Here is a 21,241-nt window from a genome sequence, read left to right on the forward strand (position 1 = left end):
AATGGGATCTAAGCTTGCTGTGATCGGAGTTAATAAGTATAATGATGATGATAATGATATTTACATTATCTCTTTCATCCAAAGAACCCTTCAGTTCTTTTATCGCATTTGCCTTGAAAATGTCCCTTCGGAGTTGGGAGGGGAAGGTGTTATTAATCTGTTCTTCAGGAAAGAAAATATAAAGAGACTTAATTGCCAGGCTTTCAGGCTCCATTTTGGTGGTAAGAAGAGATATTTAAATAACAAATTAAACTTGGAGAAATTAAGCTTGGCGAAACACCAGTCTTTCTCAGTTCCCAGTCATCCTATATAATGCTGCCAGATCAAGCTCCAATAATATCACTTCTTGACTGAAAAGTCTTCAGGGGATCCTGGCAGACTGCCAATTTCAGTCCAAATATCCTAACTCAGCAGGCAAGGCCCTCAATGTTCCAACCAATGTTGTCTCACCATGCTCTTACACTTACCCTGTGTTTCAGCCAAATAAATCCGCTTGCTTGACCCTATGGTCTGCTCTAAGCACCCCATTCTCCTTTAATAATGTTCATTCCCCTTGCCCTAACTTGTTCAATGTCAGTCTTCCCTGTTGCATGTACATTCCAGGAGGGTAGGGACTGTCACCACTGTATCCTCAGGGCCTAGCAAAGTTAACTGGCATGTAACAGGGGCTCAAATACTTGCTTCTGAAGTGAACACGATGCTCTCCCACCTCCATGCCTTTGCTTCTGCGGCTCCCTCAGCCTAGACAACCTGTAGTCCCATCTCAACCTATTGAAGCCAGAGCTGTCCTTCCAAGCCCAGATTAAACCCCAATTCCTATGTCTGGTCTCCCTGACTTGGGAACAGACACGGCATTGTTCTTTTGTAGTTCGTACATTCTGCTGTATCATAATCATTTGTGTAATTGTGTAGTCGTCCTTCCCTGCCTCTCCCAAACCATCAGTTCTGGAAAGATCGGAGCTGTACTCCAGAGCCTGGCAGAGTACGGGCACTTGTTAAACACGTGCTCACTCGTCTAAAATCGTTGATGACCAGCATTCTTCAGTGAGCAGAATTCCCACTTCCAGAATCTATAGCTTGCTACGGAGGGTATTTTTCTGTTTCCTCTCCCCTTATTCTTTCAGAGGTGGGGAGGAAGGTCAGTCAGGGAACCCCTGCCAACTCTTCCTTTAAGAAGTATCTCCCTTTCTCCTCTGGAGGAGCAGTATATCTGGCACTGAGGTGGAGGGCTCCATTTCCGACTGGGACCCACAGTAGGTTTGCAAGGTGGCATTTGGCATTTTTTAGCATCATTGCCAGTGACAATCTAAATAATGCAGAGATAATCAATGCAACACCAACTGAGAAGGTGTGATTAAATCAATGACATCCCCAAGGAATTTTAGAACTGGTCTTTGCATCTGATGAGCATTCACACAGCTCATTCAGTTATGATAAAAATATGCCACATGAACTAGCTCTGGGGCTGGGTGAAAGCTTAGAAGCGGTGCATTTTTGATAGACTGAAGACCCCTGGCTAATAGCAATGTGGGCATATTGACTATCTGTGACATAACACTATGTATAATTTAGAACGAGCTGCTTGAATAACCGTGTTGTAGAATATTCAGGGCTGTTAAAACTGATGATGTAGATCTACATTTGTTGAGATGGAAAGCGGCCAACAATATTGCTAAGTCGAAGGAAGCAGACTACAGAACAGCATGATTATGTAAAATTATTGCATATTTATACTGCTATCTATTTACAGATCTGTGATTATTCTCTGAAATGTTAATAATAGTTATCTCTGGGTGATAAAATTGTGGGGTAGTTTTTAAATTTACTTAGTTTTTTGTGTTGCTTGGATTTTAACAGTAAGCAGTTATTTTTACAATCATTGAAAGAAAACAATACAGATTGAAAAAACTTGTTGAAAAAAGCCTCATTTAAAAAAACCTTCAAATTTGCTAAAAGATGCTTACTATATAACAAAAACAAACTCTTGTATGAATGAGCAAATAAAAAAATCATTTACCTGCCTCCATAACTGAACCACATAACTGACTATGTGCTGAATATGGTTAACAGTGAAAGGGATGAAGGGACGCCGTTTTGAGGAGAGGCACAGGGGAACTCAAGCTCTCCTGACCTGGTGTACATACTATGCACACTTTTTAAGTGCCTGAAGTATGAAGTATCACTTCAAATATTATTTTAACCCAAGCTTTGATGGCAATTGATTTACAGGTATGGTATTTTTCTAAGTTCATAGCCTAAGGGACAAGAGAGAAAATATCCCATGACTGACAGCAAAGAAATGATGACTTCATTCCCCATGGCAGTTTCTGTTGCAAAGAAAAGAGACATACACTGTTGATCACAGTACAACTCAACACTTTATTCCATTGTGATTGGTATACATGTAAGATTGAGACATCAAGAGACTAAAAATCAGTGCAGAACTTCTCTGAACTAAAGGGCCGTGAAAGGCATGATTGGTTTTGGCACACAGAGTGGATAACCATACATTGGCTGGAATGAGGTGGTCAGGAAAATAAAATGCACAAATCTAACACCATGTTGAAATCATGTCTGAGTTCTGGAGAAAGTTAAAGTGTAAATAATTACAAAGACTGACATGCAACTCTTTACCTTACATTATTCATCTACAGACTATTTTTCTCCCTTAGAGATGAGGAGATGGCCTTAGTAATCTGTTCAGAGTAGCTGAAAAGACCAATCAATACACATTAGAAAGATCTGCCTGATTTCTATAGCAATTCATTATAGCTGAAGAAATAATGCTAAATAATGTATTTTCTCTATATCATCCTTTAACTAAATTGAATCACATCACCCAAGTAATTCTGACTTAACTTTTACTTAGTTAAATATAATTTCTCCTGTCTTTTAATGTCAAAAAGCAGTTTCCGTTAGTTTATCCATTGGTGTATATCACAACAGATGAGGAAAACTTATGTGATAGTATCTTTCCTTTTCAAAAATAACATTATGCTAATGAGAACATCAAAGAAGTAATACTATGCTGCAAGTAATTTAGGTTTTCACATCATCAATCATATAGGGAGTCCAAAGAAGCCAGCCTAGCAGGTAACATAGCAGAGCAGAATGCAATGTAGAAGAGGCACACAGAGTCTAAGTGATTTCTCCAGACAAAAGAGAAGGAAAGACAGAAAGAAGCAAAAGAAAGGAAAAGTGAAAAACAGCCTTCTGCAGAACAAATTGTTACAAAGAAAAATCTATTTGCTTGCAATTGATTAAACATAATAGAGAAGAGTTCTTTGATTTGGGATGATAGAAGTAAAGATATTAAAAATTATATGCTGGTAAGCCTAAACTGGCAGATTGGGCCATTTTTCCTGTGGTTGTATTTGAGATGTTGAGCTCTCACAGGGAGAATTTTTGCTTTTGCCAAGGAAGGGCCAGATTTAACCCAAAAGGACAACCTTGAGAACATTTTTTCTTTGTTAACTTGGGCATGTGGCTAACATTCGTTCTCTCTCTGGTAAAAAGATATTATTCATCTCTGATGAGATGGTTCAAAATATGACAGTGACCAAGACGTGGTTTATTCACAGGATGCACATAATTGGATATCTGCATATGGCATGAATTAAAAAGTTAAGCAACAAGGAAGAGAAGGAGGAGAAAAAAACTTTTGCAAATTTCTGACATAAAATAATCAAATAAAAGGGAAAGATAGTGGTTAAGGATGTTTTCATTTTCTCAGAGGTTTCTCCTTCCATCTGCTACGGGGGAAATGAAATGAATGAAAGTAATTCTCTTTAGGTCACCAACATAAGGAATAATTTGACTGCAAACATAGAAGTGAGCAGAGCAAGATTTGAAGTGATACTTCTTAATCTCTTTGATTCTTAATCTTAAACAACAAGCCACAGGCAATACAGGAAAGGTGGAGATGACTAGGAAGTGTGATAATGTGCCTGGATCAGTTACCATTCATTGGAAAGTACCGTTTCCCCTGCCTGTTAATAGGCTGATTCCTGCAGGTTTGAGTAAAGGAATCATCTCTTCCTTCAGTGCCGCATTGTTCTTTGTAAGAGATCCGTGTCAGTTCAAAGTTGTGTAATTTAAAGGCTAGAGAAGAAAGAAGTTTAAATTGGATCCCACAGTAAATATTCACGGATATTTCAAAGTAGAATTGTCCACTGTCTGGGGTTGGGTTCAAGCATCAAGGTGATCGCTTCCTGAACATGTTCATTGACCATGAGGAGCTGTTTACTCTGGCTCATATTAGACTACCAGTAATTATTTTCAGACATGATGTCTCTTTTGAAAGAAATGACTTTGCTGGACTAGGATAACTGCAGGGGTAGAAGACTGGAAATACGGTGAGTCAGGGTAGGTGGAAACAGAAATGAGTAGAAGGAAAAAAAAAAAAGAGTTCCTCCAAGGTCATATATGGTCAGTAATGAAGCAAAAATTCATGGTATGTGACTTAAAGACTTTCTAAGACATTGTACCCATGGGATGTTTCCAAGCTTCTTGATCTTTAATCTTTTAGCAACCTTCTGATACTGGATTTACCTTCCTAGGTGTGGTGCCCTCCTTCTGGAATTTAGATCTCTGGGGCAAACCCTGTCAGGATGTGCCTCTGTGTAGTTAACACTGCCCCAGACAGCAGCTCTGATTTCAGTCACAGTTCTGCTGAGAAGCCTGTCTGCCCCTGGCAGGGGTGAGGGGAGGGTTGTTGGTGGCAGATGTAGTCAGAGGCAGAGGAGACCAATGGCAGACAGGGTGGACCTGCAGGAAGGTAGCCAGAAGGAAAGACCTTGGGTTTTACCCAAGGTCAAGGTGGCTGTGATAGAAGAGCGAAAGGCAAAAGTAACTAACTGAATTTCAGAATTCAGAAGTAAAAGAGAAAGGAGGAGGATCCCTGGACCAGGGACTTTCACAGGAACCAAACATGATTCATGAAAAAAAAAAAAAAAAAAAGCAAGCTTATCTGACTGATCAAGAAGACATTCTTCAGAATATACTGGCAACTAAATAATTTTCACACCAAAAATACAGACACTAAATGAGTGTTTCCTTACTGGGATTAATCACATTTTGATAATTCATTAGCTCTGTATCTTCTAGGTTGCTTAATTCATTTAGCAAATCCACAGCTTAGGTACCACCTCGAGGGGAGGGAGGGTGGGGGTGTTGAATGAAGCAATTCAACTTAGAATCAAATTTTGTAAACAAGAGTTAGTAGCACAGTGGCACAGTAGATTGTCAAGGAAAACAACAGGAGTGGGCACAGAGTCATCGGCCTTGCCTGTGCGGTCTTGCCGGCTACCGGGGGGGACTCTGCAGCTCAGGAGTCTACTTTCTTGTTAATTAAAACTGAGCAGCAGGTGAGCAGCCCATCCACCTTTTCCAGTTCAGACATGCTCACGGGGATCAGCATATGGTCCTTCAGTTTCTCATAAACCTACAGTGGGAATCAAGGAAAAGGAAGAAAAGAAGGATTATGTTTTACCATCCTCAGAAGTGGAGAATCAATTTGATTTGTACATCTAGGCTTTTCATTCATTTAATCCCAAGACACACAGGCAGTCTCAACCACACACATGCCCACAGTCATCCCTATAGAGCTGGTGGGAACTGGTTAACCACTAGCCCTGTGCTTTAACCTCAAGGCCAAAGATGTGTCAGAAATGTGGTTTTGCTAGAGATGCCTTTACTCTGCCATTGTCATTGCTAGATTAAGTGGTACATGGAAGTTGGTGACCATGTGTCAGTCTGAATATTACTTTCTCTTCACACTTTATTTTTATTTATTTATATATTTTTGGAGACAGGGTCTTGCTCTGTCGTCCAGGTTGGTGTACAGTGGCGCGACCATGGCTCACTGCAGCCTCAACTTCCCAGGCTCAAGTGATCCTCCCACCTCAGCCTCCTAAGTACCTGGGACAAACAACAGATACACACCACTATCCCTGGCTAATTTTTATTTTTTATTTTCTGTGGAGACAGGGTCTCACTATTTTGCCAGGGCTGGTCTTGGGTTCCTGGGCTCAAGTGATCATCCTGCCTTGGCCTTCCAAAGTGCTGGTATTAAACAGGCATAAGCCACCACACTAGGCCTTCTCTTCACAGTTTAAAACCCTCTCAACTATACTTTAGGTTTATTTTCTTACCAACACTGCTGGAAAAATTTGACAAGATATAACTTAAGTATTTCAGGTTAAACTGCTTTTAAATTACAGGTATGAATTTTATTAGCATCTTTTGACACTAATAGAAAGCATATGTCAAAACTTCAATTAACAGTTCATAGATTGTTCTGTGATGATCAAACAAAGCATATTTTTAAAAACAGAATCACTTGAAAGTGTACTGCCTAATAACAATCTCCTGTGCTTCTTTAGGAAGCACTGCGTTTCTTAAAATTCAGCACAGTGGTTAATTAAGAGTGTTGGAGCCAGAGTAGGGTCCCAAACCCAGTTCTGTCAACCTACTACTTAAAGAATTATTTCAGTGAAGTGACATTCCCTCTGAGCCTCGGTTTACTTCTCTGTAATATTGGAATAGTAATGTTGCCCCCATAGGGCTGTTACAAGGACTGAATAAGATAATACACCTGGGATGCCTGGCACCCTGCCTGGCACCGGGGAAGCCCTCAGTAAACAGGGATATTATTAATACTATTGTTATTTTTGAGAGACAAACGGCTGAATCAGGGGGGCAGTGAATAATCATCTGGTAGGTCAGATGATCAATGTGGCTAAAGAGGGATGAATGATTCAGACCTGTATTTCTCAAAGTGAGTTCTGTGACTGGGTGCTTGTTGATATTGCAGATTCTAGGGTGGGGGTCCAGGAACTTGCATTTTTAGCAACCCTGATGTGCATTAAAGTATGAGATCCATTACTCATCTAAGAGCTGGGTAAGCCCCAGTTCTGGGTCAGGAGTACTCTATTTTCCTCAGGTTCACACTTTCAGCCATGGAAATAGAAAAAATTATCTATGTATTCCCTCACCTTTTTCTTTTTATCTGCTCAGAAAGAGGCTGTGATTAGAGAGTGAACCTAGTAATTATATCATATTGCATATTTAAAAGGTAGTATAAAATATTTTCTAATATTTGCGAAGCTTAAGACAAAAAAAAAAGATCAATGATTACTAAAGGCTCTTCTGTAATGCATAGTATAAATATCTTGTTCCTCCGGGCAGAGATGAGATGCTGAGTGCCTAGAAGATATGGACACTTGAAGAATCTATGGACGAGCACTGTTATGTTTGCTTGGTAGGGTAAAATCGAAATTACTAAAGTATATAGATGAGACTGGCAGAGTATGCTGAAAAACAAGGGAGATTTTCTTAGACCAGGAAAAGCATTCCAGATCCAGAGAGAGCTCCCTTATTGGAACACAAACACAGAGACTCCTGGAGCGACCAGTTGGCTGATTTCGAGTGTACCATATTACTACCTGCTCTATCTTTTCAATGAAGAGCTTTTTGCTACCTAGCACGGGCAGTTTCTTCTTTCTGCAGCCCTGACAATGAACACCCACCACTCTGGGTCATTCATACTCCTCTACCTAAAGAAACAAATGGCCAGGTGTGGTGGCTCATGCCTGTGCACTTTGGGAGGCTGAAGTGGGAGGATCCTTTAAGCCCAGGAGTTTGAGACTAGCTTGGGCAACATAAGGAGACCCCGTCTCTACAAAAAATAAAAAATTAGCCAGGTATAATGGTGCATGCTTGTAGTCCCAGCTACTCGGGAGGCTGAGGTAGGAGGATTGCTCAGCCCAGGAATTTGAGGCTGCAGTGAGACATGATTATGCCACTGCACTCCAGACTTGGCAACAGAGCAAGATCCTGTCTCAAAAAAAAAAAAAAAAAAGGACTGGGCATGGTGGCTCATGCCTGTCATTCCAGCACTTTAGGAGGCCCAGGCGGGCAGACTGCTTGAGCTCACGAATTTGATACCGGCCTGGGCAATATAATGAAACCCCATCTCTATTAAAAATACAAAAATTAGCCAGGTTGTGGTGGTATATGCATGTAGTCCCAGCTACTCAGGAGGCTGAGGTGGGAGGATCTCTTGAGCCCGGGAGGTGGGGTTGCAGTGAGCCAAGATCGTGCCGCAGCACTCCAGCCTGGGTAACAGAGTGAGACCCTGTCTCAAAAATAATAATAATAATAATAATAATAATAAATAAAAAAATAAAAAGAAATAAAAAGAAAAGCTGCCCTTTTCTGAGGGACAGCTCAGATCTGTCAGAAAACAGCGATACCGTTGACCATCTAATTGTAGGTCTTTATGCTTAATGAGTATCTGAGGGTGGGAAAGTACATTTAATCAGAGCTGGGGCATAGACTTGGGTGACTACTTATTTGAAAATCTGAGTATTTATTTGAAAAGCCTTGAATACCCGGCATGATCATCTCAATTACTATGCATGCATTAGTGAGCAATGACATGAATGAGAAAAGTGAAACACATTTTCCTTGTGCCCTAAATTGTATTATCCTTTCTTTTCTTAATTGTTTGATATGTATACAGGAAAAGGAGGCTCCTATTGGTCACTCCTTTATGAAAAAATCCCCAGGGAGGCTGACCCAGCTGCAGTGGTCAGAAGGGATATTTTTTTACCTTTGCACTTTCTGGATACTCTTCCGGGGTTCGGTGCAGCAAGACGTGCCCTTTGTTGGGGATATTTAGATATATACAGTTTGCTGCTATGTCATCAGGCACAGTGAGTTTGTCGTAGCGGTGGTCACTCATCTGTTGCATGATCTATAAAGAGAAACAAAGCAGGCCTAAGAAGAGTAACTCCCCACACTTTCAAACAGAAGGAAGGCAGTGTGGTAGGATACAAGCTTGGAACTGACACTTTAGGCTGTTCCTCTGTTCAAATTCCCATCTATTACCTCCAGTCACTTAGAACCAGAAAAGGAAAACTTGATTAAGCTATGAGTCTTTGGAAGAATTGCAAGGGTTTTTGTTGCTCTTTAAAAGTATGTGTTTGTCTCTCTTTTCTTTTAAGGTTTTAAAACCGTCTATTATTTTTCTAGTCTTTGTTCGTAAGACTTATCAGTAAGATGCAAAATGGCCACATGTAAGGCCCAGCAGGGGTTTTGATATCTTTGGCTGAGTAAGCAGGGCTGCCTCCTCTATAGGAAAGAAGGGCCATACCAGTAATCAGAATAGTCAATAATGTGAATCTGATTAATCAGTAACACCACACGTGTGTGCATGCACGTGCGTGCGCGCGCGCGCGCACACACACACGCTTTGCTCTTCCACATACTTTTAAACTGAATTCACCTGTTCATTGGCAGGTGATGGCCTTAATACAATGAGCATAAAAGCCACCTGGGGAGAATAAGAAAATCATATTCCCAGGCCTCACCCTTAGGGAAAGCTGGTTTGGCAGATTTTGGGTGAGGCATAGGAATTTTGCATTTTGAAGCCCTACAGATAATTTTGAGGCAGAGGTTCCCTGGACCACAACTGGAGAGAAAAAAAAAAAAACCTACTTGGCAGGTCTGTTCTTCAAATGATGAACTTATTAGTATCCTAGCATAAAATAACTTTAAAAACAACACAAAAATGAACTCTGCACAAAATTTAAAATATTGATACCTCATCCTTACCTCCTCAACATAATCAAAACTATCAAAAAACAACACTCCTCCCCCTAACAACAAGAATATCCAAATTAAAAACCCACAAAAACAAATATTATTTGGGGTTTAGTCATGTAGACTCTTTCTACTCTTTATCAATATCCATACAGTTTTAAGGAATCTGCTGAAATATCATGCTAGGAAGGTATAACATGATCTTTTCCACAATCTGGTTCTAATCTACCTTTATGGTCCCATTTACTTTTACTTTTCAGTGTTTGTATGGAAATGTGCTTCATATTACTAGGCAGACATGCCCACTCAGTCATGGGGGCACTGGATAGTAAGATTTATGGTATGAAAAGCAGAAGAGAGACAGCATGCTTCCTGTAGAAAATTCATTCCTAAGAGTGGCACATAGTAAGCCCTTCCTGACTCACCAGTCAGGTAAATCATTCACTTCTAGTGTGGAATATGTCAAGGGTGGAGAGAGGCCAAGAGCAATCCCATAATGGAATACCCTTCACATGGAATGAAACATCAGGAATGGGGATGAGCTTATGCACTGTATGAAAGGCTGAGACATACAGATGAACAGGTCACAGACCCAGTTTTCCAAGATTACAGTTTAGTGGAGGAAACTGACAGAAAAATAGATAATTATATTACAATAAGAACTAGCAGGGCACCATGCCAAACATTTTACATTTATTATCTAATCTCAAACTTCTATTTTACAGATGAAGAAACTGCACTGAGAGAGGTCAAATAACTTGCTTTAGGTCACATAGGTAGATTCAAACCCAGATCTGTGCAACTCAAAACGTTTCTTAATCATCTCACTTTGCTCTTTCTCAACTTCTGCAGCAGGAAACTACCTCCTACAAACTACATAACACCTACTTTTTCACATTCACTTGATACTTATTATTCATTCTCTGGCAGTACCATTAATTCTTTTCTTGTATGTAATCCTGTTATGACCTGCTACCGTCTGGTATAGGTAAAGGACTTAACTGGACATCTCTCTTGCACTTTTGAATTTAAATTGTTCTTGAAGGGATAGGCCCATAGAGGGGCTCACCTATGGAGTGGGTCTTTCTTTACAGCCCTGATTAGAAACCTTAGATCTAATCCAACATGTGGGCAATTAAGAAGTTAAAGACACTCCTAAAGATTAACTTTTCTAAGAAAATTAACAACATATTCAATTTAGCCCTCTTTATAAAATGGATATGCCCAGAAATAATATGAAGACGCTTGAGAGAATAAAAAAACAGACCCAAGTAGCTCTTTTGTTACGAATTGCAATTTAGTTCTTCTTATGCAGATTTTCTTTTTGGCTGCTTCCAAAACACAATAATAGCAGCTTCCATTTATTATTGTGTGCAAGGGAACAAATGAAGACCGCCTGAGCCCGGGAGTTTGAGACCAGCCTGGGCAACATGGCGAAACCCTGTCTCTACAAAAAAATTAGCTGGGTGTGGTGGCACACACCTGTAGTCACCTCCTCAGGAGGCTGAGGTGGGAAGATCATAGAGGTTGCCACCAGCCGAGATAGTGCCACTGCACTCCAGCCTGAGCCACAGATAATCTGTCTTGGAGTCTAATCCTTAGTCTTAAAAACCATAAAAGACTAGACCTACCATATTCTCACAATTACTTCTTCAGCTTCCTTCTTTCTAAGGCCTACGTTAACATGTAATCTAGTAGTGTTGCAGGCTTAGCATCCCTTCTACCTAGATCCCCTAGAGAGATAATTGCTACAAAGTTCCCAAAGTTTTTGGAATAAGGACAAATTTTACTATGAGTTTTTGTGCAGTTTTGCTCTCTTCAACCAGACTGCTACCTCCTTGAATGCAGGTCCAGGCATAATGAGGTGGACAGAGCATGGGCTTCAGAGTCAGAAAGGTCTGGGTCTGAAGCCTTGCTCAGCCACACACTAATTGTGTGACTTTGGGAAAGTCACATATGCCCTGTGAGCCTCAATTCCCTCAGCAGTAAAATGGGATGGGAATGCTATACCTATCCTCCACAGGGTAACTCTGAAGATTATTTAAAAAAAACCCCAAAACAGATAATGTACATAAAATGCTTAGCACAAGCTTCTAGCAGATATTAAATGTGTAATAAAAGTCGGTTCACTTCCCTCTTTGTTTCTTGCAAGTCACTTGACATATAGCAGGTGACCAAAATATGTTTGCACTAACTGGTTCATTTCTTCATTCCTTTCACCTTTTTAAACGCTACAGAGAACCTCAGGAGGGCACTGTGATGAACTGTGTGGTCAATCACATGGGTAAACAATTGAATTCCCTCAGAGAAACAAGGTATGGTCTATGTCCAGAAACAGAAATACAACTCATTATTTTTAATGTGAAAAAACATGGCTAAAATCAACAAGGCCAAGGTTTGTCTGTTTTTCAAAGCCATACAGAAGGGCACTATACTCTGTGGTCCTAACTCAAATGACTCTGGATGACAAAGTAAGACAACAGGGGGTTGGATCTGGAATTACCTGCAGAGTATGTGGCACCTAAGGGCATTCACAGAAAGAAAGAAAAGAAAAACTTTTGTGTATATCAAACCGAACACATAAGCCTCTGTCAGGTTGTGACCCCAATTTAGTAAAATAGTCCATAAACCCAATGGGCAGATTGACTTCTTCATAGTAGAGTGGGGCTGCCTCGATATGCAAGGTGGCAGTTAGGATTTGTGAAACTTCTAGACAATAGCTTTTGGTCAGTCTCACAAACGTGCTTTTTTCCAGGTGCAGGGAATGGGATTCCACTATGTCTAAATCTCTGTTTATTATGTGCTGTTGAGGGTGGACCAAGATGGCCAGTCTGCTCATGTTTGCAGTCAGAACTGGACGGTCATCCTGTCACATGAATTGGACCTAGTTTACCCAAGAAGTTCAGAATTTCTTCCAGACAACTGGGGAGGCAGTTCTCTGAGCCAGAGGTTTACTAAGTAGGACCCCAGTGGTTTGAGGACCTCAGAGAGATCCTTAGAACATGTATACACAACCACTGCTACCTGGTCAACCTAGACACAAACAAAACAAAATCTAGAAAATCTATTACTCACATTGACTTACTTTTCTAAGCAATTGGGAAAACTGTGTGTGGCATATTTTGGCCCACACATTCAGGCTAAGTGCTCCCACCACTCATAATCACCAGATAACTGCCAGTTGGCTTTCCATTTTAATTTGTGATCTGCAGAAGCTTCATTGTACTCTTTACCCACAGATAAATAAATCACCCATGTCTCTTAGTACCAGATGAATTGAAAGAGAAAGAAACATGGCAAGACTACATCTCTTAGGCCTGACTTTATTCACTGGATCTAGCGGTCTGGGCAAATTCCCCACCTCTCAGTGTGACTCATGCATGTCCGGAGGTGACTACAAAGCAAAAGCATGGAATGTCATACATTCCAGAGGAAGTGTTCTCAGGGATTGTTATCAGTGCTGACTTCTTGTTTACCAGTGAGGAAACAAACTAAAATCTCCAAGGTTGTGCCCATCTCAGAAAGTACCACGTGTCACTGAAGTGACAGGGCCTGTCCAGTTGACTTCAGCTGTTTCCATGCTCTGCCCTATCCCCCAACCTCACCTCCTTGAGTGAACAATCCTCTCCCCTACTTGGTTCCTATTTGAATTGTTCTTCAGTTACTGGCATGTATTTGAAATTGTAATCACTCTTCATTCTTTAATGCTTCTTCCTTTTCTGAGCCTTATTTTTTATCATTTAAAGCTTCTGGTGGGGACATTCCTATACTTACTAACATAAAGGCCAGTACCTACTTTAGAATTATTTGAGGACAGTTTCAATTTTTCATTACTGGGAGGAAAGGAATTATAATATCTTTAGTGGGGAAATAATTTAATGCTGAGAATATATGAAGTAATTCATTGATAAATTCTACTGAGAGTTACTCTTAAAATAAATGTCTTAACAAAACCCCAACAAAGCTACCTTAGGAGAAGCTTTTCAATTAATTTATCAAGACTCCACGGTTATCATTTTAAGACAGATTTAAGAATATGCCCAAAGAAATGACTTTTAATAATGAACAGGCCCCATTTGGAGCAGTGAGTAGTTCTGCTTAACTGAAAAAAATTACAAAAGTTATGTCAGGTGTAGCCTTTCTAAATAAAAGGGATGTATGAAGTGGTAACTGTAGATAACAAACAAGAAATATGCTTTTCCCCCTTGAAAATGCTAAAGGTGCTTATTATAAACACAAAGAGATTTTGTCTTTCGAGGCAAAGAACAGATTTCTCCTTTCCTGTTGGAGTAATTATTTTCCTTTCTCTTGTATGTTGTTATTGTCTGAATAAGCTTACCATTTATTTGTAGCTGGGTTTAGGAGACACATGTATGTACACAAGACAGGGTGCTGGCCATTCAGCAGGGAACATGCAGAGAAAGATGCAGGAAGGCTGTGTTGCTCTTGAACATCTTTCCCTTTTTACACCCTAATGGGCACTGTGAGGATGTGTTAACACATCCTGTCTGGTAGGGTATCACCTCAAAGAGCTCAGGCTCCTGAGGACTGAGCAACAGTGAGGCCAAGGAACAGGTTCTGTTTCCCCTTTGTGGATGCACAGAGGCTTTGTTAAAAGATGAGCACCATTTCAAATATCCCGAGAATGCAGCTGTTGGGCCGTTTAGTTCTGTTCCAACATTTTTTCCTAAAAAAGCATGGAGGAGGTGGTACTGCTCCAGTGCTGTATGTAGTGTTTTTCCAACCCCAGGGACTGTACTTCCTGCTTCTCACTGTGTCTCAAGCCAGAATGGAAAGGAGACACACCTAAACCCTCCACACGTCACCACAAATTCCTTTCCCTAAGAGCAGATTACTTGATATCCTGAGAGGCCCCAGACTCAACTCTGAATGATACAAATGAGTTCTACAGGATTTGGGGGAAAGATCTGAGAAGTCAAGTTGCTGTTCCGAATGCCCTTTCTGAATTTTGCCAAAGGAATGATTCCACTTTATGGAAACTAATTTGAGTGATTATTATGGGGATTAGATCAATTGGTGGTCAGCTCTGTTCAACAATCTTTTATGGTACGCCCCCTTCGGGCTCAGCACAATGGCAGTGTGAGGTGGGAAAGGGAAAGAGATGCCTTCAGGAGATGAAAAGCTATCATTTAAGGCAGGACAAGCACATGAAGAGTATGCTAGCAGTAAAAAGACAGTCAACCTCACTTTTATCATAGGCAACTCCTTAACGAAGAAGGCACGCAGCTGTAGGGAGGAAATAGCTCTGAGAATCATTGTGGCCACACTGTCATGGTCTGTTATGCAGCTGCTGGTTGGAGGAATTGGCCTTGTTCCCCAGGGTGGAGCTGTCACAAAATAGAGTGGGAACTGTCTGGCTTTCAGCCCAAGAGAATCTGCATGGCAAGTTGCATTAACAACCAGGCATTTCCGGCAGTTCCCAACATTTCTGGGAATTTTCTCATCCAAACGACTGAAAGCCCACTCCATTCTCTTGCTTCTTACTCATGCTTTCTTTGTATAATGGTAATTATGTTTTAAAAAATCCTGGGCTATGTTGTTTCATGGAACAATTTAGAACTTATTGGTCAAACTCTGAAGCAAAGGTATATAAAAGGTAGTTAGAGATGTTTAGGGAATATTCAAAGCACATTTTTGGGTCACTCATAATTGATCTTTATATTCATATATGTATATATATATATATAACATAATGTACCCATCTTAACATATCAAAGCTAAACCAGTATTAAAAACAACTGACTATGGTCTATTGATACAATATATGATGCCCAAGTACACTCTTCATTGCTACTGCATATCTAAAATCATTTATTTATTTATCCATCCATCAAGAGTGTATTGAGAGCCTGACAACATACCAGCATCAAGCCCTGGAGGTCTTTTTAAGGCTGAGCCAATATAGCTATGGATAACATTCTAAAACTGATAGCATATTTTCATGTTTTATAGTCTTTCCACAGACTAGTTCAAAATGAACACTGCCTGAGAGGGGCTTTAAGATGACTGACTAGAGGTACTGGACACCTGTTTCCCCAGCAAAGAAGAGCCAAAATAGCAAGTAGATAATCATACTTTGAATAGACATCTAAGAGAGAATGCTGGAATTCAGCAGAGAAGTGACAGAAAACACCTGAGATACTGAAGGAGAGGGAGGCAAGGTAGACAGCCTGGCTGGAATCAGCTGGGAGCCCAGAGAGGGTCCCTAGTGAGAGGAAAGGGTAAGTGAGAGATTCCCAGTGGTACATGTTCCCATGTTGACTGCTGAAATCCTAGTCATAAGAGTCTCTCAAACCCCAAGGACCCTGAAACTGGTATTCCCGGGGTCCGTGTGGCAGCATTGCTCCAGAGATGGAGCCCACTCGGGTCCCATGTACCCACTTAGTTCTGGACAGATAGAGAGCCAGTTAGAAAGCCCATTTCCCACCAGACTGCATTGTGCCCTGGGACCCAGCAACCCCTGTATCTTCACATCCCTGGAGCCCCACTAACAGAGGGCTGCAGGGTGCAATGCAGGTTGGACACAGTAGAGTGGCAGGGTCTCCAGAACTCTAGCCCACACATTGTACTGCACACTGGGGAGGGTGATCCTGGGACAAAGGGAGCTGAAGCATGTGTTTCCCAGAGCATGAAACCTGATTTCCTGGGGCCACTGTCAATGAAATAAAACCCTGTTCCCACAGTAGAAGGGCTGCTTCACACTAGCATGTGTCCTGAGGTCAGGCTGCCACCATTGTCATAGCCACCTGAGCAAACCGTCTGGGGCTTGGAAATTGCTCTGCCTTGTTCACCACAGCCTGGGCCCATGGGCCCCATGGGGGGCCTGAGAATAGGCCTGCCTGGCCTGGCACCACCCCTGTCCTCCATCAGTGCCCAAGCACATTGCCTGGGGGCCTAGGGATTGCCCCTCCCCATTGGTTGACCCAGGTGCATATGCATGCCATCAGGGGGCCTAACAGGACCAGAAAACCTACTGCTGAAACCCAAGCATGCTGTCTGGAGGCTGGGGGATTGCCTCACCTTGTCTACAACAGCTGGCATCTGGGCAATACTCCTGGAACTTGAGAATAGGCCTGCCCAGCCTGCCACCACCACCACTGCTGGCAATCTTCTGCATGCACTACCTGGAGGATTGGGGACTGGGCTGCCCAGCCCATTGCAGCCACCGCTAATATCAGTGAGTGCCCATGGGGAGCCTGAGGACTCATCCAGTCATCTGGCACACTGCTGCCATAACCAGCACCCAAGAAAGCTGCCTGGAGGCCCCAAAATCAGCCCTCTGGACTTGCTAACACTGGCGCCCACATATGCCACCCCGGGACCCAAGAACAGGCATGCTTGGTCTGCCGCTGCCAACAGCAGGGCCTGAGGACTGGCCCACCTGGCGTCCTATCCCCAGGAAAACCTCAGCATAATCTCTACTAACAACGGCAGCCTACGCCACTGAGGAAATCACAGACACCACTGATGGTGTATAGCCAAAGAAATCCTATGGAGACTGCACCACCATATATGCCCAGAATAAAAGAAAAGTACCCTAACCAACCAACACCATAGATCTATCTACAGGAAAATGTCTTCCCCTATGAAAACCAATCTAAAAAATTGGAGGAAGTGACTGTTACACCAGATGCACAGATATCAATGAAAGGACACAGAAATACAAAAAAGCAAGGAAATATGACACTTCCAAAGGAACATAATAATTCTCCAGAGACAGATTCCAATAAAAACTAAATTTATGAAGTGCCTGAAAAAGAATTCAAAATAACAACATTAAGGAAGTTCCATGATATAGAAGAGAACACAGATAAACAATAAAAAGAAATTAAAAAAACAACTCAGGGTATGAATGAGAAATTCACCAAGGAGATAGACATATAAAAAAGAACCAAAGAGAAATCCTGAAACTGAAGAATTCAATGAATGAAATAAAAAATGCAATGAGAACTTCAACAGGATACTAAATCAAGAAGAATTTCAGAACTTTAAAAAGAAGAAAAAAAAACAAGAAAGAAGAAAGCCAATGTGACCTATGGGCCACCATAAAGCAACAAAATATTTGAATTTTGGGTGTTCCAAAGGGTGAGAGAAGTTTAATGGCATAGAAAAACAATTTAACAAAATAATACCTTAAAACTCCCTAAGTCTAGCAAGAGATTTAGAAACAGGAAGCTCAAAGATTCCAAAATAGATACAACCCCAAAAAAATCTTTTCCCCAGCATATTATAATCAAACAGTCTAATATAGTCTTTATGTCCCCACCCAATTCTCATCGTGAATTATAATCCCCATAACCCCCAGGTGTCTAGGGAGAGACCAGAGGGAAGTAATTGGATCACGGGGACGGTTCCGCACATGCTGTTCTCATGATAGTGAGTGAGTTCTCATGAGATCTGATGGTTTGATAAGTGTTTGGTAGTTCCTCCTGCATTCATTCTCCTTCCTGCTGCCTTGTGAAGAAGGTGCTTTGCTTCCCCTTTGCCTTCCACCATGATTCTAAGTTTCCTGAGGCCTCCCCAGCCTTTCAGGACTGTAAGTCAATTAAACCTCTTTCCTTTATAAATTACCCAGTCTTAGACAGTTCTTTAAAGCAGTATGAAAACGGACTAATACAGTGTAAAAAGTCAAAGACAAATAATTCTAAAAACAGCAAGAGAAAAACATCTGATATGGTTTGGCTCTGTGTCCCCACCCAAATCTCATGTTGAATTGTAATTCCCAATGTTGGGGGAGGGACCCGGAGGGAGATGATTGGTCATGGGGGCAGATTTCCCCCTTACTGTTCTCATGATAGTGATTTCTCACAAGATCTGATGGTTTAAAAGTGTGTGGCATTTCCCCCTTCACTCTCTTTTCCTCTTGCTCCTTGTGAAGCAAGGTGCTTCCTTACCCTTCCACCATGATTAGGTTTCCTGAGGCCTCCCAGCCATGCCTCTTGTACAACCTGCAGAATTGTGAGTCAATTAAACCTCTTTTCTTTATAAACTACCTACTCTCAGGTAGTTCTTTATAGCAAAGTGAGAATGGATTACTATAGCATCTAGACACAAAGAAGTCTCCATCAGACTAACAGCACATTTCTAATCTGAAACTTTACAGTCCAGAAGAAAATGGGATGATATATTCAAAGTGCTGAAAGAAAAAAACTGCCAATTAAGGGTACTATATCCATCCAGTAAAATTATCCTTCATAAATGAAGGACAAATTCAGAGTTTCCCAAACAACCAAAAACTGAGGGAATTCATCACCAAGAGACCAGCCCTCCAAGAAATGCTTGAGGAAGTCCTACGCCTGGAAGTGAAAGAACAATACCTTCCATCATGAAAACACACAAAAGTATAAAACTTACTGGAAGAGCAAACACACGAATGAGGAAGAGAAAGCATTCAGATGTTACCACTACAGAAAACCACCAAACCACAATGATAAACAGTAAGAGAGAAAGAAAAGAACAAAGGATATATAAAACATCCAGAAAACCACTAAATAACAGGAATAAGTCCTCACATATCAATAATAACCTTGAATGTAAATGGCTTAAATTTTTAACTTAAAGATATAGAGTGGCTGAGTGGATTAAAAAACCTGTGACCTATCCAAAGTAATGAAGGTTATTAAAAAATATTTTTTTAAAACCCATGACCTAACTATATGCTGCCTAGTGAAACTCACTTCACCTATAAAAAGACAAATATGGGCTGAAAGTAAAGGGACAGAAAAAATATTCCACACAAACCAAAAGCAAGCAGGAGTAGATATATTTATATCAGATAAAACAGATTTTTAATGAAAAACAGTAAAAAGAAACAAAGAAGGTTATTATGTAATGATAAATGGATCAATTAAGCAAGAGAATATAACAGTTCTAAATACATATGCACCCAACACTGAAGCACCCAGATATAAAAAGCAAATGTTGGCTGGGCATGGTGGCTCACATCTGTAATCCCAGCCAGCACTTTGGGAGGTTGAGGTGGGTGGATCACTTGAGCTCAGTAGTTCAAGACCAGCCTAGGCAACATGGTGAAACCCTGTCTCTATAAAAAATACAAAAATTAGCTGGGCATGGTGGTGCATGCTTGTAGTTTCAGCTGCTTGGAAGGCTGAGGTGGGAGGATGGCTTAAGCCTGGGAGGCAGAGGTTGCAGTGCACCAAGATTGTATCACTGTACTCCAGCCTGGGTGACAAAGTGAGACCCTGTCTCTAAAATGAAATAAAATAAAATAAAATAAAATAAAATAAAATAAAATAAAATAAAAAACAAATGTCATTAGATCTAAAGGGAGAGACAGACTCCAATACAATAATAGCTAGGGACTTCAACACTCCACTCTCAGCAAAAGACAGAAAGTGAACAAAGACACGTTAGATTTAAACTGCACTTTAGACCAAATGTACCAAAAATATATGGAACATTTCATCCAATAGCTGCAGAATACACATTCTTCTTATTAGCACATCAAGAACATTCTTCAGGATAGATATTAGGCCCCAAACAAGTATCAACAAATGTTAAAAAATCAAAATTAGGCCCCAAACAAGTATCAACAAATATTAAAAAATCAAAATCATGACAATTCTCTTCATAGACCATAATGGAATAAAACAAGAAATCAGCAATAAGAGAAATGTTGAAAACTACAAATACATGGAAATTAAACAACATGCTCCTGAATGACTACAAGGTCAATGAAGAAATTAAGAAAGAAAGAAAAAAAAATTCCAGAAACAAGTGAAAATGGAAACAACTTACCAAAACCTGTGGGATAAAGAAAAAGCATTGTTACAAGGGAAATTTATACCAACAAATGCCAACATTAAAAAAGTAGAAAGATTTCAAAAAAACAACCTAATGTTGCACCTCAAGGAACTAGAAAAGCAAGAACCAAACACAAAACTAGTAGAAGGAAAGAAATAATAAAGATCAAAACAGAATTAAATGAAATAGAGTTAAAAAATAATACTAAGGATCAATGAAACTAAAAGTTTTTTTTTGAAAAAATAAAGAAAATTGATAAACTGCTAGACTAACCAAGAAGAAAAGAGAATGGATCCAAATAAGAGGAGGGAATTCTTCCTAACTCATTTCATGAGGCCGGGATTACCCTGATACCAAAACTAGACAAGGACACAACAAAAAAAACTACAGGTCAATATCCCTGATGAATATAGACACAAAACTCCTCAACAAAATACTAGCAAACAAAATCCAACAGCAAATCAAAAAGATATTACACCATGATCAAGTGGGATTTATCCCAAAGGTGCAAGGATGCAAGGGATGGTTCAACATACATAAATTAATAAACATGATATATTGCATCAACAGAATGAAGGACAAAAACCATATGATTAATAGATGGTGTGTATTCTCTAACTCAGCTCCAATTAAAATCCTCATTCTTGTTTCTTGTTTTATATCATCTTTCCCTTCTATTTTTAGTTATGTTATTTTGCTGTACTTAGGTGTCTTTGTAAGCTGCTTTTATGAGGTGAGGTGTGATTATACAATGTCAAACAGTTCTTCTAAAAACATGTTTTTAAATTATCACACTATTACAAGTGCATCTCGTAAAAAATTCAAATATGAAAAGTTAAAGTTCTGTTGG

General features: G+C 40.4%; 1 protein-coding gene across 8 annotated transcripts in view, besides 3 other annotated features; it reads right to left on the reverse strand.

The window, feature by feature from the left end:
* Nucleotides 1–2,359: 2,359 nt before the first annotated feature.
* The window catches only part of DDAH1 (dimethylarginine dimethylaminohydrolase 1), a 259,716-nt gene continuing 240,834 nt past the window's right edge, over nucleotides 2,360–21,241 (reverse strand). For all 8 annotated transcript variants that reach the window (XM_005270707.3, NM_001134445.2, XM_011541158.2 and 5 more), the window contains 2 exons: nucleotides 8,615–8,758; nucleotides 2,360–5,443 (listed from right to left, as the gene is read on the reverse strand). In XM_005270707.3, coding sequence (XP_005270764.1) covers nucleotides 5,327–5,443; nucleotides 8,615–8,758 — 261 coding nt within the window. In that variant the 3' untranslated portion in view covers nucleotides 2,360–5,326. The remainder of the gene's footprint in view (nucleotides 5,444–8,614; nucleotides 8,759–21,241) is intronic.
* Nucleotides 8,685–9,206: an enhancer, noted in NCBI's record as "OCT4-NANOG-H3K4me1 hESC enhancer chr1:85790493-85791014 (GRCh37/hg19 assembly coordinates)". NCBI's record gives its function as "activates a minimal SCP1, AML or CMV promoter by ChIP-STARR-seq in primed H9 embryonic stem cells {active_cell/tissue: H9 hESC(primed)}" and the evidence as "EXISTENCE:reporter gene assay evidence [ECO:0000049][PMID:30033119]".
* Nucleotides 11,970–12,139: an enhancer, noted in NCBI's record as "experimental_9272 CRE fragment used in MPRA reporter constructs". NCBI's record gives its function as "activates a minimal promoter by MPRAs in K562 erythroleukemia cells, with activity observed for the non-introgressed 1:85793863 variant allele {active_cell/tissue: K562}" and the evidence as "EXISTENCE:reporter gene assay evidence [ECO:0000049][PMID:34662402]".
* Nucleotides 12,615–13,193: an enhancer, noted in NCBI's record as "NANOG-H3K27ac hESC enhancer chr1:85794423-85795001 (GRCh37/hg19 assembly coordinates)". NCBI's record gives its function as "activates a minimal SCP1, AML or CMV promoter by ChIP-STARR-seq in naive H9 embryonic stem cells {active_cell/tissue: H9 hESC(naive)}" and the evidence as "EXISTENCE:reporter gene assay evidence [ECO:0000049][PMID:30033119]".

Source organism: Homo sapiens, chromosome 1 (assembly GCF_000001405.40).
Source record: "Homo sapiens chromosome 1, GRCh38.p14 Primary Assembly".
NCBI lineage: Eukaryota > Metazoa > Chordata > Mammalia > Primates > Hominidae > Homo > Homo sapiens.